The sequence below is a fragment of the Homo sapiens genome, chromosome 7 (assembly GCF_000001405.40).
Source record: "Homo sapiens chromosome 7, GRCh38.p14 Primary Assembly".
In the NCBI taxonomy this organism is placed as follows: domain Eukaryota; kingdom Metazoa; phylum Chordata; class Mammalia; order Primates; family Hominidae; genus Homo; species Homo sapiens.
In genome coordinates this window covers 124,928,503-124,952,682 of record NC_000007.14, presented here as the reverse complement: position 1 = coordinate 124,952,682, position 24,180 = coordinate 124,928,503, and the positions used below count along the sequence as shown (strand labels likewise).

Genomic DNA, 24,180 nt, shown 5'->3' with positions numbered 1-24,180 from the left:
GAAATTTCTGTCTGATTATGTCTGGCTTCAGTGATCTAGGAACTCTCCCTCGCAATGTTACTCTGAGCGCAAATGAAGCGGATGCACAGGGAAGGAAAGAACTCTGTCCACCTATTCCACAGGCACTCACCCAAAAAATCCTTTCTCTGGGGCTCTCCCCAACTGTTTGTCTGTGTTGACTCTGGGCTTGAAGCATCCTTTGGTACCATTCCACATCTGTCTCAGAATCCTCTTCAGTATATCTTTTTGGCTGTGGTTTAGATGAAACTTTTTTCTCTGTTTTCTGTATTTAGTGAATTTCTCAAATTACATGGTTAATAGATAAAATAGATATTCTAGGTTTTCAGTACCACTTGAGATTTATTATTTTGTAAAATATATATGGCCATTTCAAAGAGAATTTGCACTGGAGAGGATGACAATGTTTTCAGTCAGACAACTTTATCCAGTATCCACGTTTGGCACATTCTATGATAATTTGATTTGTAGCCTGTATTTTACTCTGACCTGTATTATCTGAGTAGATTTCTCTTTTCTAGAAATTTGAGCATTTATTTGTTTAAGAGGCATTTTTTGCAAGGGACACTTTCCCTTGCAGAATGTTTTCTCCATATGTGCTTAAGGAAGGAAACAGATTCTAAAAGTTGTAATAGTAGAAAAAAAATGGTTTAGTTATGGCTGACACATTAAAATACAATAATCCGTGGTACAAAGATCAGAATAATATCATTACATATTTTGTTATCTAATGATACTAATTGAAATTAGTTAAAAAATACTTGTGGATTAGTTTATGTGGAGGTTAAATGCTTATATTTTTAAAACCTGTGTTTTTCATCTTTGTGGCAGTCATCATCATAAAATGGAAATAATGGGGTGCAGACAGAGCACAAATTAATCTATGCAAAAATGTAAGTATTTGCACTCAGCTAAATGACTCTAACATTCTGTGTTTTATGTCTGTTTTTCTTGAAATATTAGGGGGATCTGTCGACAACATGAAAACTCATATTAAAACTTGGAGCTATATGAATGTAAGTAAACATGCAATTATAATCAAAAAATGCCAAAACCATCATTTTACAAAAATGACTCTAGCTCGAGTATGTATTTTGTTATTTGAGTCTGGAGAAAGCTAGAAAATTGTAAATTTTATATAGGCATATAGAAATTGCCACATATAAAATTTCTGGGAAGAGTCTTATGATTTTAATATTTCATCTTCATATTAATTTTTTATGACTTTTCTCAGGCTTTCTGGGATTTACAAAAGTGTTAAACTAGGATAATGGATAGCTGTATTTACCAAAGGGCCTCTGAGAAACAGGATTTAGATTAACAATTTATCACAGATTGTTTGTCCTGAAAAGTGTCTTTGTCACTGTTTTCTCCACGATTTCTTTTTATCTTCAAAAATAAACATTTTGAACGAGATTAGCATGGCCTTGAGGCACTCACTGTGTGTACTTTCCTTTTAATTCAGTAATTTCTAAGAGATAAGTGCTTTACCTCCTAATTCAGTGTCCTGAAAAATAGTTATAAACTAGTCTTCAAAAAGTGAAATAAAATTCCTGTAAGGTTATGCCATATATCCTTTCCTTGGCCCTCTGTGCCTTCTCAACAGTCTCCTTTGACCTACTTTCTACCAGAAGAGGCTGATATGTATAGATCTCCTCACTGCTACCCCATACCCTTTGGCTTTTTTTTTTTTTTATTTTAAGTTCCGGGGTACATGTGCAGATTTGTTATGTAGGTAAACTCATGTCACAGGAGTTTGTTGTACAGATTATTTTGTTACACAAGTACTAAGCCTATAATCCATTAGTTGTTTTTTTCTGATCCTCTTTCTCCTCCCACCCTCCATCCGCAGGTAGGCCTCAGTGTCTATTTCCTTCTATGTGTCCATGTATTCTGATCATTTAGCTTCCATTTATGAGTGGGAACATGCAGTATTTGATTTTCTGTTCCTGTGTTAAATTGCTAAGGATAGTGGCCGCCAGCTCCATCCATATTGCTGCAAAGGACATGATCACAATTTTTATGGCTGCATAGTATTCCGCTGTGTATATGTATCATGTTTTCTTTATCCAGTCTACCACTGATGGGCATTTAGGCTGATTCCATGACTTTGCTATTGCAAATAGTGCAGCAATGAACATACACCTGCATGTGTCTTTATGATAGAATGATTTATATTCCTTTGGGTATACACCCAGTAATGGGATTGCTGGGTCAAATGGTAGTTCTGCTTTTAGGTCTTTGAGAAATAGCCACAGTACTTTACACAATGATTGAACTACTTTACACTCCCACCAACAGTGTATAAGCATCCCTTTTTCTCCACAACGTAGCCAGCATCCATTATTTTTTGACTTTTTAATAATAGCCATTCTGACTAGTGTGAGATGGTATCTCATTGTGGTTTTGATTTGCATTTCTCTAATGATCAGTGACATTGAGCTTTCTTTCATATGCTTATTGGCTGCATATATATCTTCTTTTGAAAAGTATCTGTTTATGTTCTTCACCCACATTTTAATTGGGTTGTTTGTTTTATTCTTGTAAATCTGTTTAAGTTCCTTATAGATGCTGGATATTAGACCTTTATCAGATGCACAGTTAGCAAAAATCTCCCATTCTGTAGGTTGTGTGTTTACTCTGTTGATAGTTTCTTTTGCTGTGCAGAACCTCTTTAGTTTAGATTCCATTTGTCAATTTTTGCTTTTGTTGCAATTGCTTTTGGTGTCTTCATCATGAATTCTTTGCCTGTTCCTATGTCCAGAATGGTATTGCCTAGGTTGTCTCCCAGGATTTTTATAGTTTTGAGTTTTACATTTAAGTCTTTGATTCATCTTCAGTTGATTTTTGTATATGGTGTAAGCAAGGTGTCCGGTTCCAATCTTCTGCATATGGCCAGCCAGTTATCCCAGCACCATTTATCGAATAGAGAGTCCTTTCTTCATTACTTGTTTTTGTCAGCCTTGTCAAAGATCAGACAGTTGTAGGTGTGCAGTTTTATTTCTGGGCTTTCTATTCTGTTCCTTTGTTTTATCTGTCTGTTTTTGTACCCGTACTATGCTGATTTGGATATTGTAGTCCCATAGTATAATTTGAAGTCTGGTAGTTTGATGCCTCCAGCTTTATTCTTTTTGCTTAGGATTGCCTTAGATATTCAGGCGCTTTTTGGTTCCATAAGAATTTTAAAATAGTTTTTTCTAGTTCTGTAAAGAATGTCATTGGTAGTTTGATAGGCATAGCATTGAATCTGTAAATTGTTTTGGGCAGTATGGCCATTTTAACGGTATTGATTCTTCTTATGTATAAGCATGGAATATTTTTCCATTAATTTGTGGCATCTCTGATTTCTTTGAACAGTGTTTTCTAGTTCTCGTTGTAAAGATCTTTCACCTCCCTGGTTAGCTGTATTCCTAGGTGTTTTATTGTTTTTGTGGCCATTGTGAATGGGATTGCATTCCTGATTTGGCTCTTAGCTTGGCTGTTGTTGGTGTACAGGAATTCTAGTGATTTTTGTACGTTGGTTTTGTATCCTGAGATGTTGCTGAAGTTATTAATCAGTTTAAGGAGGTTTTGGGCCAAGACTCTTAGGTTTTCTACATATAGAATCACGTTGTCTGCAAACAAAGATAGTTTGATTTCCTCTCTTTCTATTTCAATGCCTTTTATTTCTTTCTCTTGCCTGATTGCTCTGGCCAGGACTTCCATTACCATGGTGAACAGGAGTGGTGAGAGAGGGAATCCTTGTCTTGTGCCAGTTTTCACGGGGAATGCTTCCAGCTTTTGCCATTCAGTATGATGTTATCTGTGGGTTTGTATAGAATAGATGATTATTCTTATTTTGAGGTTTGCTCCTTCAATATCTAGTTTATTGAGAGTTTTTAACATAAAGGGTGTTAAAATTTGTCAAAAGCAGTTTTTTTGCATCTCTTAAGATAATTATGTGATTTTTGTCTCTAGTTCTGTTTATGTGATGAATCACATTTATTGATGTGCATATGTCAAACCAACCTTATATCCCAGGGGTAAAGCTTACTTGACCATGGTGAATAAGCTTTTTGATGCACTGCTGGATACAGTTTGCCAGTATTTTTGTGAAGATTTTTGCATTGATATTCATCCAGGATATTGGCCTGAAGTTTTCTTTTTTTCTTGTATCTCTGCCAGGTTTCGGTATCAGGATGATGCTGGCCTCAGATAATGAGTTAGGGAGGAGTTCCTCCTCCGCAATGTTTTGGAATAGTTTCTGTAGGAATGGTACCAGCTCTCCCTCATACATCTGATAGAATTCAGCTGTGAATCTGCCTGGTCCTGGGCTCTTTTTGGTTTGTAGGCTATTTATTACTGATTCAATTTCAGAACTTGTTATTGGTCTATACAAAGATTCGATTTCTTCCTTGTTCAGTCTTGGAAGAGTGTGTGTCTCCAGGAATTTACTCCTTTCTTCTAGATTTTCTAGTTTGTGTGCATAAAGCTCCTCATAATATTTTCTGATAGGTATTTGTACTTGTGTGGCATCAGTTGTAATATACCCTTTGTCATTTCTAATTGTGTTTATTTGGATTTTCTCTTTTTCTCTTTATTATTCTAGCTAGCAGTCTATCTATCTTATTAACTATTTCAAATAACCAACTCCTGAATTCATTGATCTTTTGAATGGTTTTTCATGTTTCAATCTCCTTCAGTTCAGCTCTGATTTTGGTTATTTCTTGTCTTCTGCTAGTTTTGTGGTTGGTTTGCTCTTGTTCTCTAGTTTTCTTAGTTGTTTTGTTAGGTTGCTAAATTAAAATCTTTCTAACTTGTTGATGTGGGTGTTTAGTGCTATAAATTTTCCTCTTAATATTGCCTTAGCTGTGTCCCAGAGATTCTGGTATGTCATATCCTTGTTCTCATTAGTTTTAAATAACTTCTTGATTTCTGCCTTTATTTCATTATTTACACAAAAGTCATTCAGGAGCAGATTATTTAATTTCCATGTAATTTTGTGGTTTTGAATGATTTTCTTAGTCTAGATTTCTAATTTTATTGTGCCATGGTCTGAGAGAGTGGTTGTCATGATTTCAATCCTTTTGCATTTGGTAAGCATTGTTTCATGTCTTAACTGTGGTTGATGTTAGAGTATGTGCCATGTGGCAATGAGAAGAATGTATATCCTGTTGTGTTTGGATGAAGAGTTCTGTAGATGTCTATCAGATCCATTTGATCCAGTGTTGAGTTCATGTCTTGACTTTCTTTGTTAATTTTCTGCCTCAATGATCTGTCTAATACTGTCAGTGGGGTGTTGAAGTCTCCCACTATTATTGTGTGGGAGTCTAAGTCTCTTTGTAGGTTTCCAAGAACTTGATCTATAAATCTAGATGCTCCTGTGTTGGGTGCATATATATTAGAGATAGTTTGGTCTTCTTGTTGAATTGAATGTTTTACCATTGTGTAATCTCCTTCTATGTCTCTTTTGGTCTTTGATGATTTAAGGTTTTTTTGTTTGTTTGCTTTGCTTTGTTTTGGAAATTAGGATTGCACCTCCTGCTTTTTTCTGTTTTCCATTTGCTTGGTAGATTCTTCTGCATTCCTTATGAGTCTATGGGTTTCACTGCATGTGAGATGGGTCTCTTGAAGACAGAAAACCATTGGTTCTTGGTTCTCTGTCTGGTTTGCTACTCTGCTTTTTAACTGGGGGCATTTAGCCCATGTACATTCAAGGTTAGTATTGATATGTGTGAATTTGATCCTGTCATCATGATGTTAGCTTACTGTTGTGCAGACTTGTTTGTGTGGTTGCTTTATAGTGTCACTGGTCTGCGTACTTAAGTGTGTTTTTGTAGTGGCTGGTAATGGTCTTTTCTTTCCATATTTAGTGGTTTATTCAGGAACTCTTGTAAGGCCAATCTAGTGGTAACAAATTCCCTTGGCGTTTGCTTGTCTGGAAAAAATCTTATTTCTCATTTGCCTAAGAAGCTTATTTTGGCTGGATATGAAATTCTTTGTTGAAATTTCCTTTCCTTTAAGAATGCTGAATATTGGCCCTCAATCTCTTCTGGCTTGTAGGATTTCTGCTGAGAAGTCTACTGCTAGTCTGATGGGCTTCCCGTTGTAGGTGGCTTGACCTTTCTCTCTAGCTACCTGTAACATTTTTTCTTTCATCTCAGCCTTGGAGAATCTGATGGCCATGTGGCTGAGAGATGATTTTCTTGTGAAGTATTTTACTGATGTTCTCTGCATATCCTGAATTTGCATGCTGGTCTCTAGCTAGGTTGGGAAAGGTCTCAGGGATAATTTCCTGAAATGTGTTTTCCATGTTGCTTCCATTCTCCCCATCTCTTTCAAGGACACCAATGAGTCATAGATTTGGTCTGTTTGCATAATCCCATATTTTTCAGAGGTTTTATTCATTCCTTTTCATTTTGTTTGTCCATTCTCGTATGACTGTCTTATTTTAGAAAACCAGTCCTAAAGCTCTGAGAGTCTTTCCTCCACTTGGTCTATTCTGCCATTATTACTGTGATTGCATTATGAAATTCTTGTAGTATGTTTTTCAGCTCTGATTAGTTACATTCCTTTTTTATACTGGCAATTTTGTCCGTCAGTTTCCGTATCATTTTATTGTGATTCTTAGCTTCTTTGGATTGGGTTTCAATATACTCCTGCATTGCCATGATCCATGTTCCTATCCATTTTCTGAATTCTATTTCTGTCATTTTAGCCATTTCAGCCCAATTCAAAACCCTTGCTAGAGAGCTAGTGCCATTGTTTGAAGGAAAGAAAGCACTCTAGGTTTTTAAATTGTCAGCATTTTTGCACTGGTTGATTCTCATCTGTGTGCGCTGATGTTCCTTCAGTCTTTAAAGTTGCTGTCGTTTGGATTTTTTTTTCTTTTATCCTATTTGATGACCTTGAGGGTTTGATTGTGGTATAAGGTAGGTTCAGTCAACTGGCTTTATTTCTGGAAGATTTTATGGGGCCAATGCTCAACTCACAATTCCTAGATTGTGTGCCCTAACTCTGGGGGACTGGTATCGGGCCCTGACTTTGTTCTCTGGCTCCTTGAGGTTAGGAACCCACTGCACTATGGAGGTTGAGTTGCTCTGAAACCACTGTTCATAGCACTCCAATAGGTGGTGCCAGCCAAAGTGTTTCACAGGGTGATGGCAGCAGGATCCATCCTCATTCACATGTGCCCACAGCAGCAACAGTGGCAGTGTGGCAGGATGCACAATCATCCACTGCAGTAGAGTGCCAGCAAGTGCCAGGGTGCCAGCCCTCCTGCAGGTGTTTGCAGCAGCAGCGGAGGCAGCACAGCTTGAGGAAAGTGGGTGCCCTGCTGGTGACTGTGAGCAGTCACACTGGTGATAGTTTTAGCATGTGGGGTGGGGTGTTGGTGGGCAGAGGACTGTGTGCACCCTCTGTGCATTCACACAGGTGGAGGTGGCCACTGAAGGTAGGGAGGGTTTGCTGTCCTCCATGCGTAATTTCACTGCAGTGGCAGTGTTGGCACAGTGGCAGGGCACTGGTGGCAGCAGAGCTGGTGGGCATACGGCCCACCAAGGCTCCAACTACAATGACAGTAAGATGTTGGGGCTGGTAGAGTACACTTTGCTGGCAGCAGTGGGAGGCCAGCTTTCATGCACAAATGCGCTGGTGGGGCAGGAAAGGAAAGATGCCCTCTGGCTTTTGATTGGCCTTGGCCAGTGAGGAACGTTGACAGTGTTACTGAGGGAGTATAGATGTGTAGGGTTTCCTGAGGCTGGCTATATCAGTATATTGAAGGCCACACACCTGCTCAAAGCCGTGCTCTCTATATGACTTTCTCCTTCTGAGATCTATAATCTGCTAGCTCTCCTTGCTATTGATATAAGTGGTCCTACAGCTGACATATTGACATAGATGTTGGCATAGACGGCATCAAGTCTCAAAATGGAAAGATTAATTTCACTAGTAAAGAAAAAGAGATGGCAATAGTTTCAATAGCAGGGTTCACATAATGTAGATAAGATCTATTTTTGGCTCATGGACAATAAGAACTTGCATTAATTATTTCAAGTGAAAGAAACTCATCAAATTTTCATAAGTAAAAATGGATTGACTCTTATAACTGGAAAGTCTAAAAGTAGATAACCGGATTCCAACAGATTGGTGGGGGGTGCGGTTGTAACACTGCCTTTGGACACTTGTGCATATCCCTTCATTCTTATATTCCTCAGCCTCTTTTCTCCAACTTTTCCCTTTACTACTTCTTAGCTCTACTTTTGTTTTAAGGGATTTTATTCTCAGCAAGCTCTATGTTTATCAAAGTTGAACTTACTTACGATCTTACAATATCTTAGTGTTTGGAAAGCCCAATGTAAGGAGAGCTTCTGTTTTTCCAGTTATTACAGCAAAATTCCCTATAGTTACCAAAGTAATTGGCTATGTGATTGTTTCTAAACATTAATTAGTGTGGCTGGGGTAATGGAATTTGTTAACTGACCAGGCTTGCAGCAAATGAATGCCTATGATCATGAGGATGGGGAGTGGGGTTACCCATCAAAATATTTATTCACTCAATCAATTAATATTACAGACTATATCCCTATCACTTAGGAGAGTGTCTATACCCTGTGACACTTTCCTAAGTGATAGGGATATAGTCTGTAATAAAATCTCTGTCAAAATGAAACTTACCTTCTAGTCACAATTATAAATGGTAAAAATAAATAAACTGGAAATATACAGTGTATTAGTCTGTTCTCATGGTGCAATGAAGAAATACCTGAGACTGAGTAAATTATAAGGAAAAGAGGTTTTATTGATTGAGTTCTGCATGGCTAAGGAGGCCTCAGGAAACTTACAATCATGGTGGAAGACACCTCTTCACGGGGCAGCAGAAGAGAGAATGAATGCCAGTGGGGAAAATGTCAGATGCTTATAAAACCATCAGCTCTTGTGAGAAATGACTATCATGAGAACACCATGGGGGAACTGCCCTCCTGATTCAGTAACCTCCCACTGGGTTCCTCCCATTACAATTCCAGATGAGATTTGGGTGGGAACACAGCCAAACCATAACATTCCACTCTGGCCCCTCCCAAATCTCATGTCCTCACACTTCGAAACATAATCATGCCTTCCCAACAGTCCCCCAAAGTCTTAATTCATTCCAGCATTAACCCAAAAGTCAACAGTTTAAAGTCTCATCTGAGATAAGACAAGTTTTCAAAACCAATCATGCCTTCCCAACCATCCCCCAAAGTCTTAACTTATTCCAGCATTAACTCAAAAGCCACATTCCAAAGTCTCATCTGAGACAAGGCAAGTCCCTTCCACCTATAAGCTTGTAAAATCAAAAGTGAATTAGTTACTTCTTAAATATAATGGTGGTATAGACATCAGGTAAATACACCCATTCCAAATGGGAAAAATTGGCCAAAGCAAAGGGGATACAGGCCCCATGCAAGTGCAAAATCCAGTGGGGCAGTCAAATCTTAAAGTTCTAAAATTATCTCCTTTGACTCCATGTCTCACATCCAGGTCACGCTGATCCAAGAGGTGGGCTCCTATGCCCTTGGGCAGCTCTGTCCCTGTGGCTTTGCAGAGTACAGCCCCCCTGCAGGCTGCTTTCACAGGCTGGCATTTAGTGCACATGGCTGTGCAAGTACCTATGGCATTGAGTGCCTATAGCACAGTGCAAGCTGTTGGTGGATCTACCATTCTGGGGTCTGGAGGATGGTGGCCCTTTTCACACCTCTACTAGGCAGTACCCCGGTGGAGACTCTGTGTGGGGGCTCTGACCCCACATTTCCCTTCCATACTGCCCTGGTGGAGGTTATCCATGAGGATTCTGCCCCTGTAGCAAACTTCTTCCTGGACCTCTAGGTATTTCCATACATCCTCTGAAATCTAGGTAGAGGTTCCCAAACCTCAATTCTTGACTTCTGTGAACCTGTAGGTTCAAAACCACGTTGGAGCTACCAAGGTTTGGGGCTTGCACCCTCTGAAGCAATGGCCTGAGCTGTACGTTGGCTCCTTTTAGCCATGACTGGAGTGGATGGGAAGCAGGATGCCAAGTCCCCAGGCTGCATACAGCAGGGGGGCCCTGCGCACAGCCCAGGAAACTATTTTTTCCTACTAGGCCTCTGGGTCTGTGATGGGAGGGGCTGCCAGGAAAGTCTCTGACATGCCTTGGAGACATTTTCCCTATTGTCTTGGTGATTAGCATTTGGCTCCTTATTACTTATGAAAATTTCCGCAGCCCACTTGAATTTCTTCCCAAAAAATAGGATTTTCTTTTCTACTGCATAGTCAGGCTGCAAATTTTCCAAACTTTTATGCTCTGTCACCTCTTGAGTGTTTGATGCTTAGGAATTTTTACACCGCCTTTGTAAAATTATGACTGAAACAGTGAAAGAGATCTAACTTAACCGATTCCATCTTGTTCTAACCTCCAAGCTGTCTTTGTTTATTCCTGGGCATAGGCTGAACTAACTTTGGGAGAAACTTAGTTTGTTGTTTTTAGTTTAAACAAAGATGGTAATAGCCCTTTCCCAAAGCAGACCTCCTTCTTGCCTGGTGACTACACTAACTTTAGCCACAGGATTAGAAATTATGGTTTAGGAGTTGAACAAGCGAAGTCGCTCACGCCTGTAATCCCAGCACTTCGGGAGGCTGAGGTGGGTGGATCACAAGGTCAGGAATTCGAGACCAACTTGGCCAATATTATGAAACCCCATCTCTACTAAAAATACAAACAAATTATTAGCTGGGCATGATGGTACACGCCTGTAGTCCCAGCTGTGTGGGAGGCTAAGGCAGGATAATCGTTTGAACCCAGGAGGTGGAGGTTGCAGTGAGCTGAGATCGCACCACTGCACTCCAGCCTGGGTGACAGAGCGAGACTCCATCTCAAAAAAAAAAAAAAAAAGGAGTCATGCAACTGGAGGTTATAACATTCTGACCCTCCCTAAACTGCTCCTAAGATCAGTGCTTGAGATATTTTGCAGACCCTGCACTTGATGGATCTGCTGGCACCACCCAGATAGATAAACTGGCTCCTTTGATCTTGTGGCCCCCACTCAGGAACTGACTCAGTGCAAGAAGACAGCTTCTACTCCCTATGATTTCATCTCTGACCAATGAGCACTCCTGGCTCACTGGCTTCCCCGCCACCCACCAAGTTATCCTTAAAAACTGTGCCCCCTGAATGCTCAGGGAGACTGATTTGAGTAATAGTAAAACTCCAGTCTCCCACACAGCCGGCTCTGCGTGAATTACTCTTTCTCTATTGCGATTCCTGTCTTGATGAATCAGCTCTGTCTAGGCCGTGGGCAAGGTGAACTCCTTGGGCGGTTACAATTTCTTTTGCCAGATACCCTAAATCATCTCTCTCAAGTTCAAAGTTCCACAGATCTCTAGGGCAGGGACAAAATGCTACCAGTCTCTTTGCATAGCGAGTGACCTTTACTCCAGTTCATCATCTCCATCTGTGACCACCTCAGCCTGGACTTTATTGTCCATACCACTATCAGCATTTTGGTCAAAGCAACTCAACAAGTCTGTAGGAAGATTGAGAGTTGGACATATCTTCTAGACATCAAGTGGAAATAGTTAATACACAGTTGAAAACACAAGTCTGGAATTTATGAAAAATACAAATTTGGGGTGTATACATCTAGAACTGAAGATATAAAATTGGGAAGTCATAAGCATATAAACTGCACTAAGAGTGGAAAGGGAGTGATTTACCAAAGGAATGTCAAGCTGTTGTTGGATAGTGGAAGGATGAGAAGTTAAGTACAGAACACTTAGGTGCTATACATTTATTTACTGTATTCTTCCACCTGGTACCAGTTTTTACTAAATGCAAAGATTATTGGTGATTTTAGATGTCATATGCCTGTGAATTTCCTGATGTTTGACTGAAAGGAGACTGTTATTTTACTGCCAGTAACAGAAAACCAAAAACTCAAACTGACTTAAAATAATAAGGAAATTTTCTAGTTCCTGTAAGTAGAAATTAAGAGACACATGAGATTTCAGGGTTAGTTCATATAAGGGCTTAACACTACCATGAAAGTTGCATATTTTATTTTATTTTATTTTTTTAATTTACGTGACATTCTGTTCAGTCAACCACAGGATTGGTTTCATTTTAAGTTGGGCTCCCTTTTGGTTGTGGAATGGCTGCCAGTAATAATCGGATTACACATTTCCTCACACAGCATCAGGAAGAGGAGAGGCTGATTTCCCATATTTCTCCAGAGAGAAAGAAAAAAAAAAGTCTTAGAAATTCCAGAAAAAGTATTTCCTTACCTCTCTTTGGCCTGAATTTGTTACATGCTCATTTCTGAATCTGTAGCTATAGCAATGAAGACAGGATTTTTCTGCTCCAGGATAGACGGTTTGATATAAAGGGTATCTGGCCGAAATGGAAAGAAAAGAAGCATTTTTACTATGAGGGAAATTAAGGAGGAGACTGATCAAGATTAATATCATTAGTATTTGGATGTATAATATGGATAGAATTAGCAGATTATCTAGAAGTGGCAGAAAATTATTGATGGTCAGATATAAATAACAAGAAAAAAGGAATACATTTCTTTTTTAATATTTCCTTTCAGTCTAATAGACTTACAAGAGTCTATTAAGCAAACATACCTCTATACTTAGGACTGGTTTACACCATCCTCATGTGAAAATAAGTAAGAGTACCAAAGTATTTCTTTTTCTCCATCTGTTCTGTTCCTTTGGCTGTGCCAGACTCTGACGCCAAGTTCTGGGTTGAATATATCCTAATTAAACTGAAGTTTTTCAAATGTGATTGTATAGTAATCACTTCTATTCTGCTCTAATCATAGAAAAGATATCTTGGAGTAATTTTTTACTATTGAGAATTAGGTAAGAGGGACAACACAAATGAGATTTTATTATCTTATTAATACAGTAGCTGTAAACTTATCCTTCTAACAATACATAGTCTTTGATGGGCAAATTGTGGGGAGGAAAGGTAAACTCACATTTAGCTATAGAATGTCTCAATATTATTGCACATAAGTGAAAAATAAATAAGCTATCCACAATTTTCATCAAGGAGACTACATATTGACTTTCCCATTTCCCATAGAAGTGTATGAATGTAATGAATAGAGGCAAATTTAATTTAAATTAATAAGAAGGTTCGGACAAAGTTACAAAATGTCTTTCTGTGTTAAAAGTGCATTTTCACCCTAAAACAAATGGTTCTCAATTACTTCAAATAAGCATAATGAATCTAAAAAACATGCAAACTCTTAATTAGCTTACTATTATTTAAAACTATTCATTATAAAGTTTCTAAAATTGTGCCAATTTTTGATCATTCAAAAAACAAGAGGAAGACAAAGAAAAATATCAGGCTAACAAATTGCTGTCTGCTTCTGTGCTCTCCAGCTTAGAGCTGGTCCATTATTTTCAAAACAAATTAACTATCAATGCTTTTTTAAAAATCTAAGATTACATAGAAAAGAGGCTGTAGACATGGGCATTATTACAGATTTTCCCAGGACATATCTTCGTGATATAAAATGTAAGATATGTAAATGAAGGGGACATTAAATTCAAGACATAAACCCCTACTTCCACAGTGTAAAGGAGTTGAAAGATCCTCTTTGACTAGTCTACTTTCTGTCTATTAATTTCCAGCAATTTTTTTCTTTTTCTTTTCCTTCATGTGCCTTTTGTGTGTGCTGCCTCAATTAGAAACGCAGCAATCTGACATAAACCAAGCTCCTCACTGGTTTTCTCAAAAATTTCACTCATTCTTAAGCATTCTGTGAGCTCGACAACTTTTCTAAAGATTTTTTCTTTGGATTGAATGTGCATACAGCATAGGCATCAAAGAGTGGCATCTCTTCTGGGAAACATACATACTCTCTTGGTTTTTCTGGTTCAGTTTATTTTCTTTTTCTCTTGCTTCCCCATCTTTACAGAGAAACCTGAAGAACCAATCATTTGTTAGGCAACATAGTTCTTCTCACACATAGGAACCTGGAGGGTCTTGGCTGTTACTATAAGCAGATTTGTCAAAGAATATGTTTCTGAATAAACACTCAGAATTATCACTCAAAATAATTTTCCCAAATGCAGTTTTTTAAAAAAAATTCAATAAATATCTTTCGTGTAATTTAACCAAAACTTATCTCTGTTGAGATAGTCTATTTTAACCTTGTGCCTTTTACACACTGAGTCACCTAGGTGCCACATGGCATGGCTCAAAATTAGAAAATGACCCATTTCTCTCCCCTATGAAAATTTTGCCTCTCCTTGCTTAGTCTGTGCCTTGCTGCATATACTTCGATCCTCTGTTATGCTAATTTGACTTTGAGGCTTTTATGTTCTTTCCAGTCATTCATTTTTCCCTTAGTGCATGGCTTGTCTCAGCATTTCTCAGACAGTACTTTTCATCGTATTTGTTTTCATTCACTCTAAGTCATTACCCTATCAGATGTAGTGAGAAGGGAGCTTAAAAGTAACCCAACCTGATTAAAAAATATCCTCTGTTGCTGAGAGAAAAGATGGCATGAGGGATCTTAATCTCCAAAGAGTGCTGGAGATAGACCTCTTGCTTAAACATTCTAATTAGAAACTATCTAATTTAAAAATCACTTGCCTTTATTAGCCTATGTAAACTTACAAAATTTGAATCTTGACTAATGTATGACATTACATTACACTCAAAGTTTTTTCATTTTACTTGTAATTTACGAAATATGGTCTTTGAACCACTGGTAGGCCATACAGACTCTCCGTGTTATTCATGGAATAAAGATTTATAATGCTCATGTTTATAATGTAGCTTCTCTACTTTTCTGGCATAAATAAGAAATTTGCCTGCTTTTCATCATCATAGACAACCTCACTGGTGTCGATCCAAAATCAGTCTTTCTTCATAGCAATCCTACCGATGATTTCCAAGCGTTGCTATATTGAAGTTAATGAAATGTGTTCTCCATTGGCCTGTGGACCACTGGAGAGAGAACTGGTTAGTGAATCATTAGGCATGGTGTCTTAACCATTCATTACTCAAGTATTTACTGCCTGCAAAACGAACAAAACAGGCTGAAATCCCTACTACTGTGGAGCTTACCTTTTAGTGTGGAACACAATTAAAAGGGTCAGTTTTACAGTATGTTAGAAGATGACTAGTGCTCTAGGGAAAAAGAAAAGGGTAGCAAAACTCTGGAGGGATGTGTGTGCAAATTTAAATACAGTGGTCAGTTTGGCTGCTTTGACAAGGTTATATTTGAGGAAAATTCCTGACGTAACTGGGGGAATTAGTAAGGGAAGAGTATTCTAGCATTCCACTCTAAGACTCCAGAAAAAGAGCAAGGAAGCCAGTCTGTCTCAAGTGAGTGAACATAAGGGGTAAATTCAGAAGGATAGCAGAGGGATTAGATCACTTAAAGGACTTTGACTTTGACCCTGACAGTCCTGCAGAACCCTTGTAGTGTTCTGAGCAGAGGAGCAAATGATCTGACCTGCTGTTCTTGATGAGAATGGAGCAATAATTGTGTGTGGGCAGGAAGTGAAGAGTAAGGAATCAGGGGGACCCTCTAGGATGCTATTGCAGAAATCCAGTCCAGAGGGTATGGTGACTTGGATCACAGTGGTAGTGGTGGAGGTGATATGCATCGGTCTGATTCTGTACACATTTTAAGAAGAAAGCCAATAGAAATTCCTGAGTGTTATCTGTTAAAATGCTATTGGTTGCAAGTAACAGAAATTTAACAAAAACCAATAAATACTGGTGGAATTCGTAAGTATCACATGGCAGCTAGAGTTTTAACTCCTTTTGAGGAACACTGAACTCCTTTTGAAGAACTATGTCAAATATACTAAAGATACTAAGAACCCAGCAAACTACTCCGTCTTTTTCTCTGGGGTTGCATGGTGTCTGGTTTTGCTTCTCTGTATATATCTGATTCATCCTTCTTTGCAGTTTGTTTTTTTCTGCCTCTTCATGCTGTTATGGACAATGGTCACCCTAAACTCCTATTTGCCCTCGCAAATCAAGTGTCAAGGCCAACTCACTTGTACACAAATGACCAAAGTCATTTACTGGATTCTTTTTTATTTTATTTTTTTGAGATGGAGTCTCACTCTGCCGCCAGGCTGGATTGCAGTGGTGCCATCTCGGCTCACTGCAACCTCCGCCTCCCAGCTTCAAGCGATTCTTCTGCCTCAGCCTCTTGAGTAACTGGGACTACAGGCATGCACCACCACGCCCAGCTAATTTTTGTATTTTTAGTAGAGACAGGGGTTTCACCGTGTTGGCCAGGATGGTCTTGATCTCTTGACCTCGTGATCCACCCACCTCGGCCTCCCAAAGTTCTGGCATTACAGGTGTGAGCCATTGTGCCTGGCCCAATTTACTGGGTTCTTAAGAGACAGATTCTAACTGGCTCCATCCAGGTAATAGATTGGCTGCCTCAGGAGTCAAGTGATCAGGTGATTATCTCAGTGCAGCCTATAGTCAGGATGGAACAGGATCAAGTGCATAATATCAACATGGCTACATATACAGACTTCTGTGTTTGGAAGGCAGCTGTTAGTGGAGCGTGAACTGCATAAACATGCAAAATGTTGTATATATGGTTATCAGATAATTTTACCACTAGAGGATGCTTAAATACGAGTCTTTCAAAAAACTTTTGGTTTAGTTATTTTTAGTCATGTGGCTAAGTGATAAAAGTAGTGAAAAAAACCTTTAATTAAAAAAAAAGCAGCTAGTCATTTAAATTATTCATTCAACAATAACCAGTGTGAACATTTTATGAATATCATTTCAGATATCTCTGTATAATACATAGAATCAGAATTAAGCTACTGGCCAGAAAGACAGAATTAATTTAAAATAAAAGAATCATAGATGATATTTTAAATTAAAAGTATTAATTTAAATTTTATTTGAATTAATCAAAAGAGAAAACAGTTTAAGTAAAACTGAAGGGATGATTAAACTTTAGATAAATGATTTTTTTCCCCAACAAAACACATAAATTCTTATAAGAATCCTCTGATCTGGAAGAAAGCGAGCTGGAAGAAGAAAGTGCCCATTCGTGTTATGGCACTGAGATGAGCCATGGCCTTTTATTTATTCTCAGGAAACAGCCAACTCTGAGTCTTGAGGGTGCTCAGGCTGACTTTTAGCAGCAGAACATCTAATTCACTGACAAGCCTTGAAGGCTTACTCTGTGCTTAGAAAGAGGTGAATATATATCTATAAAAATAAAATTATATGCCATAGATTAGAAAATTTAAAGAAAAAGATCCCTGTCTTTTCAGAATCACTAGAGAGATTACAGTGATTATACAGAGTCTTGAATTTTACAAATTGTTAGACAACTAAGGGAAAGAACATGGCATAGCCAAACACTTGTAAATATTACCGGAGCCATAGCTGTAATTTATTTCTAATCCAAATCAAGGCACAGAAAGAAAATAAAAAAGAAAACAGGACACATCTGAAGAAGGTTAATTACATGCCTAGAAAAGAGATCATCTGAGAGGCAAACATTCAGGGGAGATGGTGCCCTGACCACAAATGTGAACATCCACATATATTTCTCCAGTAGACTTGACATGAAACTCACATGACTTGATTATGTTAGGTTGTAGGATCATCCAAAAAATTTTCTATGTTGAAATTCCATGCTTTCCCAACAACCAAGTGTTTATAATTTGGTTCCTCATAAGTACTGATATTAACATAATGCCATATTCCAGATATATAGCTAATAATTTAAAACATTTGGTTGGAATTTAATACATTTGTATTACCAGGTTTTTTTAAAAATATCAATGTGAGTTTGTTTAATGTGAGCCAGTTTCACCAGTCACACTCTATTTTTTTGTGTCTAATATCTGAGCATGATCACATAAAATCATTGCCTGTATGAGGGTTATATCTGTGGCAGTCTAGGGATAGCAAAAGAAGTGATGAGTTTCACCTGAAGAGCAAAATTAAGGCTGAATACAGGGTTTAGAGAGTATTTAAGAAAAAAATATATGTTTTGATTAGCCCATAGTTTTTTAAGCTTGAAGCCATATATTTTTATAGGACTGAAATGTACTACAGGTAACTAAAATTTGCCTTGATTATATTGCTGTATTTTCATCTCTGCTTAATTCTTACTTCTCAGGAAGACCTAATGTGACCTTTCTATCTAGGTCAGCTTCTTCCATTATATACTTTCCTAGCACCATGACTATTCTCTGTATCTCACATCATAATCGAAATTTTGCATTGGTTTATCTGAATTTTAAAAAGATATTCTGTCTCCACTGCAAGATCCAAATCAGCCAGGGCCATGCCTGGTTGTGTTTAACTTATTGTTAGATGGCCCTGCTCAATTTCAGATACTTGGTAAATGTTCCCTGAATATTCATTAAGTTTACATATTGCCTTTTTTTAAACATATTAAAAACATGTTATCAGAAATGGTGGCTCACGTCTGTAATCCCAGCATTTTGGGAGGCCAAGGTGGGAGGGTCACTTGAACCCGAAGTTTGTGACCAGCCTGGGAAGCACAGTGAGACTTCACGTCTGCTAAAAATAATTAGCGGAGCACAGTGTTGCCTGCCTATAGTCCCAGCTACTCAAGAGGCTGAAGTGGGAGGATCGCTTGAGTCTGGGAGACCGAGGATACAGTGAGAGCTAGGATCTTCCTACTGTATGCCAGCCAGGGCAACAGAGTAAGACCCTGTCTCAAAAAAAAAAAAAAAGAAAGAAAGAAAGAAAGAAAGAGAAAATGTTATACATGAGTTATATGAGGAAACATTTATTTATATTTTTTGGGAAGTCATACATTTCTTATAGTCTTTCAACAAGAGAAAGTTCGTATTTGTAATTCATTCATATGGATCAATACAGTATAATATATTGACCTACTTATAGTTTATAATTAAAATTTGAATATAGGTTATTTTTTTCCTTGGACAATTCTTTTTTTTTTTTTTTTTGAGACAGAATCTTGCTCTGTCGGCCAGGCTGGAGTGCAGTGGCACGATCTCGACTCACAGTAACCTCTGCCTCCTGGGCTCAACCAATTTTCCTGCCTCAGCCTCCAGAGTAGCTGGGATTACAGGGGTGTGCCACCAGGCCCAGCTAATTTTTTTCGTATTTTTAGTAGAGATGGGGATTCACCATGTTGGCCAGGCTGGTCTTGAACTCCTGACCTCAGGTAATCCACCCGCCTCGGTCTCCCAAAGTGCTGGGATTATAGGCGAGAGCCACCATACCTGGCCCAACAATTCTTAAAATGAGTAGCAACTGAAGGAAAGACAATTTTTTAACTGATGAGGATTTTTTTTTTTTTTTTTTGAGACGGAGTCTCGCACTGTTTCCCGGGCTGGAGTGCAATGGTGTGATCTCAGCTCACTGCAACCTCCACCTCCTGGGTTCAAGTGATTGTCCTGTCTCAGCCTCCCGAGTAGCTGGGATTACAGGTGCCCGCCACCACACCTGGCTAATTTTTTGTATTTTCTGTAGAGACAGGTTTTCACTATGTTGGCCAGGTTGGTCTCGAACTCCTGATCTTGTGATCTGCCTGGTTCGGCGTCCCAAAGTGCTGGGATTACAGGTGTGAGCCACTGTGCCTGGCCTAGGATATTTTAAATAATAAATTAAAAAGATTTATTATTAAAGTACAAAAGCTTTTGAGAGACCTCTTCAATGGATAATAATGTTTTCTCAATTTGTGGTACCTAATATTATGTTTTAAAAATATCTTTATTTTGCTTCCTAGTATGCACTGAGTGATTACATGCTTTACCATTTAAATTTGTAACTTAAACATACATTTGAGAAAAAATTATGTTTGATTTATCTCCTGGCTCAGCTACATAACAATATAAAAATTTGATGCTTTATTGAAATAGGATTTTACAAATCCATTTAGATGTTCATTAGGATTGGGCAGAAAGAATATTAGACACAAGGAAATGAACTCCAACTAATGTAGCCTAGCTATTATTCCTAGAAAATCTCAGGAGTAAGAAGATGATATTGTCAGGCTCTAGAGATGCAACCTGATGATAACAGCTTGCAGGACAGATGGACTGCAAACAGGAATGGGTTAATCACCCCACAATTAATGCAAAGGAAATGAATTTGAAGTGCTGGACATGTTAGGCAATTCAATTTTACATGTAGACATTAACAAGTAAATAGTAAAGGATAATATGAAAATGCTATGAGAGGGAAGATGTGTCAGAAATTTGCAGACTAATTTCTTTCACGTTTGATTTATTTATGATAACTATACTGAATCCTTATATTTATACATCACTTAAAAATTACCCATTTTGCTTTTAGTCTTCATTATTTATTAATGAAAATTTAATTTTAACTTTTCTTAAAATGAACATTTTTACATTGCAGATTTTATATAAAAACTTTTTTCATTGAACCTTTAAAAGTCATAACTTCTAATAACAATTACATTAATTGTTAGCCTTAGAGTAGCTTTTTTATGCTGCTTCAACAGGCATAGAACAATAGTAATGGATTGTTTTGGCATTAATATGTCTTCATTGCCTTATTCAGTTGATTCAATCTCTTTTTTTCCTCTCTTATTATCTTAAATTGTACTGTATATTCATGAGCAATTTTCTTCATTTGTGGAAATTAATTGCTAATGTGAGGGAAAGCATTACAGGCTCTGGAGCCTCTGCCACTAATTGGGAGATTATGCAGAAGAAATAAGATTGGAAGTTACTTGAACGTGTAGGAAGTGTTGTGTCCCACAGGAACTGAGAACAACCACTTTAACAAAATAAAAGGACTTACGTATACCTCTATTAGACATCTTCATCACATTCTACAGAACATGGATACTTACAGGCTAAACAGATTATGAGAAATTTTAAAAGATTCAGTTGGTAGAAGGTAAGAGGAAAACTAGGACCATGTTGTAGCACAAAGAATGTTTTCAAAAATATGAGACTAAAAATGTCCTTTTGGGTTAGCAATAAAGAGTTCTTCAGTGGTTTTTCTAAGGGCAGTTTAAGTGTAATGGGGTGGTGGGGGGCAGGGGTGGGATGGAGGGGTGGAAGTCAGAAGTAAGATAAACAGTTTTCCTCAGCATTTGTTCATTCAACAAATATTTAGTACCCACAGAGGAGTGTGAGACTGACTGGGCAACATAGTGAGAACTCGTCTCCACAAAATTTTTTTAAAAAATTAGCCGGGTGTGGTGGCCTGTGCCTGTAGTCCCAGCTACTTAGAAGGCTGAGGCCAGAGGATAGCTTGAGCCCAGGAGTTCCAGGCTGCAGCGAGCTATGATCTCGCCACTGCACTTCAGCCTGGGCGACAGAGCAAGAGCCTGGGAGAATGTGTTTAAATGGTGACGGGAAAGAATGAATAAAAGAAGGAAAGCTTAAAATACATTAAGAGAAAATATATTGATGATGATGGAAGGGAGATGAAATTGGTCAGGGTCCAAAGCCCATGTGGAGGGCTTCACATAAAAAGGAGGAATAGTATTTCTCAGCCGGATGCAGCCAGAGATGGAAGGAGGATAGCATCTAAACCTTCCCTATAGTTTTCCTCAAATGGACAGCTCCTGAGTTCATGCACTTGTCACCCCGGCTTCTGCGTGGGATATAACTACAGGGATGGGGAGGGGAAACAGGAGATGGGCTAATACTGAATGCTTCCTGTTGATTAAAAAGGCACTTCAAACATAGCTGGCTGGGCACAGTGGCTCATGTCTGTAATCCCAGCACTTTGGGAGGCCAAGGTGGGCGGATCACAAGGTCAGGAGTTCGAGACCAGCCTGGCCAAAATGGGAAACCCCGTCTCTACTAAACAAATACAAAAATTAGCCAGGCATGGTGGCCTGCGCCTGTAATCCCAGCTACTAGGGAGGCTGAGGCAGAAGAATTGCTTGAACCCGGGAGGTGGGGGTTGCAGTTAGCCGAGATTGCGCCATTGCACTCCAGCCTGGTGACAGAGCGAGATTCCGTCTCAAAAAAAAAAAAAAAGTTAGCTATATCCTCCTGCAAATATGTATATAAAGAAGATATTTTAGTTCAAATTAGCCTTGGAAATATTCATGTAATTCTTTATTACATTTAGTTTCACACTAGGATGATTTCACTTAAATGATTGAAGGCATATATCTGGAATTAGCAGAGAATTCATGTTTAACAATTTATCATTATAAATGATAAATTATAATATTTATCAATTATAAGTTATAATAAATATTAAATAAACTATAATAAACCTATAAAATAAATTATAATAAATATTAATTATACCACAAAATCATGGCCCTATAAAACAATGACAAGGTTAATCAAATCTGTCTGTAAATAGCAAGACTCAATGGTGGCATTATGCCAATGCCCGAAATTACTATAAAAACTCCCAAATAACATTGTTATCCTTGTAAATGCTTCCTTGTAAAGACTGCAGTAGGTGCCTATTTCTTGGAGGAAGAGAACTGGACATTAAAAGAAAGGCTCTGCCTACAGGAGCTTCGAATCTACCAAAGGGAAGCTCAAATCCCGCCCAGCGGACCCGCCCGCTTCCCCTAAGCTTGCCTCCCGCCACGAAAGCTGGAAAGTCACTGGGGGCGGAGCTAAGGGGAGCTGCGAGAATTCCGGGGGATGTGACCGGACTGGGCGGGGCCTGTACCTTGGCCCTGCGCTCCCGTTGACGTCGCATCCTGTCAGTATTTCGCCAAACCTCCAGGCGCCATCAGTGTGTGAACCGTTACGCAGCTGGTCCACCGCGGGCGGAGAACAAGCGACTATGCCCAGGGATCCTGCACGCATGCGTGGAGCTGAACCGTCAGCGTGCGTGTGACGTCACCTGCGCGCCCGCCTAAACTCTTCCTAGGGTTCTTTCTAGAGTACGGGTGAGTGAAATTTGTAAGGTTTGGTGTGTTCATTTGAGTGGGTGCCAGACGTAACGGGCCCGGGATTGAATTAGTTTAGATCAAAATTTGATGTAATTATCGCAGAGAAACGCTTTCTTACGAGTGTTTATCTCGAGCCTGCTGTGTTCAGCATCTTTCTTGGTGTTTTGGGAGAAGCAGACAGGAGTTAAGTCCAAGTCCCCGCCCTCACAGAGCTCAGGTGGCTTGGGGGAAGGTTGGTGCGCAAACATTAAAATTAGATATCGACACTAGTGAGTGTCCCCGTCAAGAGGTCTGTGAAATAAGGTTGAGCCTACGATGCAGAAGTTAATCTCAGTTCAGTAATTTTTGTTTCTTCATTTATTTAGCGGGTGAAGGGAGGGGGCCACAGAAACATGTTGGAGTACGATGCTTTTGGTGCACAGTTTGTCTATACAATATTACAGCTCCCGTGGGGGTTAAAAAAAAACACGATTTTTCAGCCTCCCTCTTCCCCAATAAATTTTACATTTTAAAGCACAATGTTAAAAGCGTTTGTTAGTGACGTTACAGATCTTAAAACTGGCTTTTTGGAGGTACTTTACGCAGCTAAGTAGAAAATGGTTAAGTTTCAGTTCCTTGGAAGAATGTTTTGTATTGATCTTTGCAATAAAATTGTAAAATAATCCATCCTCCTGTCACCCCCCAACCCCGAACCGTGTTAACTATAATAAGGAAAAGCATAACTAAGTCAAAGAGACTTAAAGCAAATTATTGACTTCATTTTGGGTAAAACACTGGTTTTGTATTTTCAGCAGCAAGTTGTCAGATTCCCTAGTTGAATTTGCTTTGGACATCAGTGTGAAGCAGAACTGATATGCCACTTGAATTAATAAAGGAAGTCAATGGGGTGCCTGAAGTTCAGCCGCTGAGTAAATTACATAAAGTAGATTTCGGATCCCTACAGCCAGGTTACAATTATAGCAAGAAATATATTCAGGTAAGAATTTCTATAACTCAGAATGCTTTTTCCTACTAAAAGGAATGCAGTTTTTAAGTGTTGAGTTTATTTATGAGAACTGGTTTAGGTATGGTTTTTATCTTTGTCATAACATTTGAGATTGAATATTTCAATAAGTTATTCTTATTCAGTACTTATTTAGCGAACAATTATCAAATTCGTGTGTGAAACATTGGAGTAAGTTTCTGAGGTACAAAGATGAATAAATATAGTCCCGGAACTAAAGATAATCACATTTCTGTGGGGTCTGACAGATCAATCACCTGATCTCCAATTAAAATTAATAGGTGT

General features: G+C 38.6%; 1 protein-coding gene and 1 long non-coding RNA gene across 7 annotated transcripts in view, besides 3 other annotated features; one reads left to right on the top strand and one right to left on the bottom strand.

Annotated features, from left to right (window-relative positions):
* POT1-AS1 (POT1 antisense RNA 1) overlaps positions 1-22,810 on the bottom strand; it is a 215,362-nt gene extending 192,552 nt beyond the window's left edge. For both annotated transcript variants that reach the window (NR_125718.1, NR_125719.1), the window contains exons 1-2: positions 22,667-22,810; positions 12,298-12,403 (exon numbers count right to left, since the gene is read on the bottom strand). This is a non-coding gene — a long non-coding RNA (POT1 antisense RNA 1). The remainder of the gene's footprint in view (positions 1-12,297; positions 12,404-22,666) is intronic.
* Positions 22,574-22,868: an enhancer, noted in NCBI's record as "tiled region #5954; HepG2 Activating DNase unmatched - State 1:Tss, and K562 Activating DNase unmatched - State 1:Tss". NCBI's record gives its function as "activates a minimal TATA promoter and a strong SV40 promoter by Sharpr-MPRA in HepG2 and K562 cells {active_cell/tissue: HepG2 | K562}" and the evidence as "EXISTENCE:reporter gene assay evidence [ECO:0000049][PMID:27701403]".
* Positions 22,574-22,922: a biological region, named in NCBI's record as "Sharpr-MPRA regulatory region 5954".
* Positions 22,623-22,922: an enhancer, noted in NCBI's record as "active region_26573". NCBI's record gives its function as "activates an Ori minimal core promoter by ATAC-STARR-seq in GM12878 lymphoblastoid cells {active_cell/tissue: GM12878}" and the evidence as "EXISTENCE:reporter gene assay evidence [ECO:0000049][PMID:35858748]".
* POT1 (protection of telomeres 1) overlaps positions 22,858-24,180 on the top strand; it is a 107,440-nt gene continuing 106,117 nt past the window's right edge. For all 5 annotated transcript variants that reach the window (NR_003103.2, NR_003104.2, NR_003102.2 and 2 more), the window contains exons 1-2: positions 22,858-22,889; positions 23,684-23,868. The gene's annotated coding sequence lies outside the window, so the exon portion shown is untranslated. The remainder of the gene's footprint in view (positions 22,890-23,683; positions 23,869-24,180) is intronic.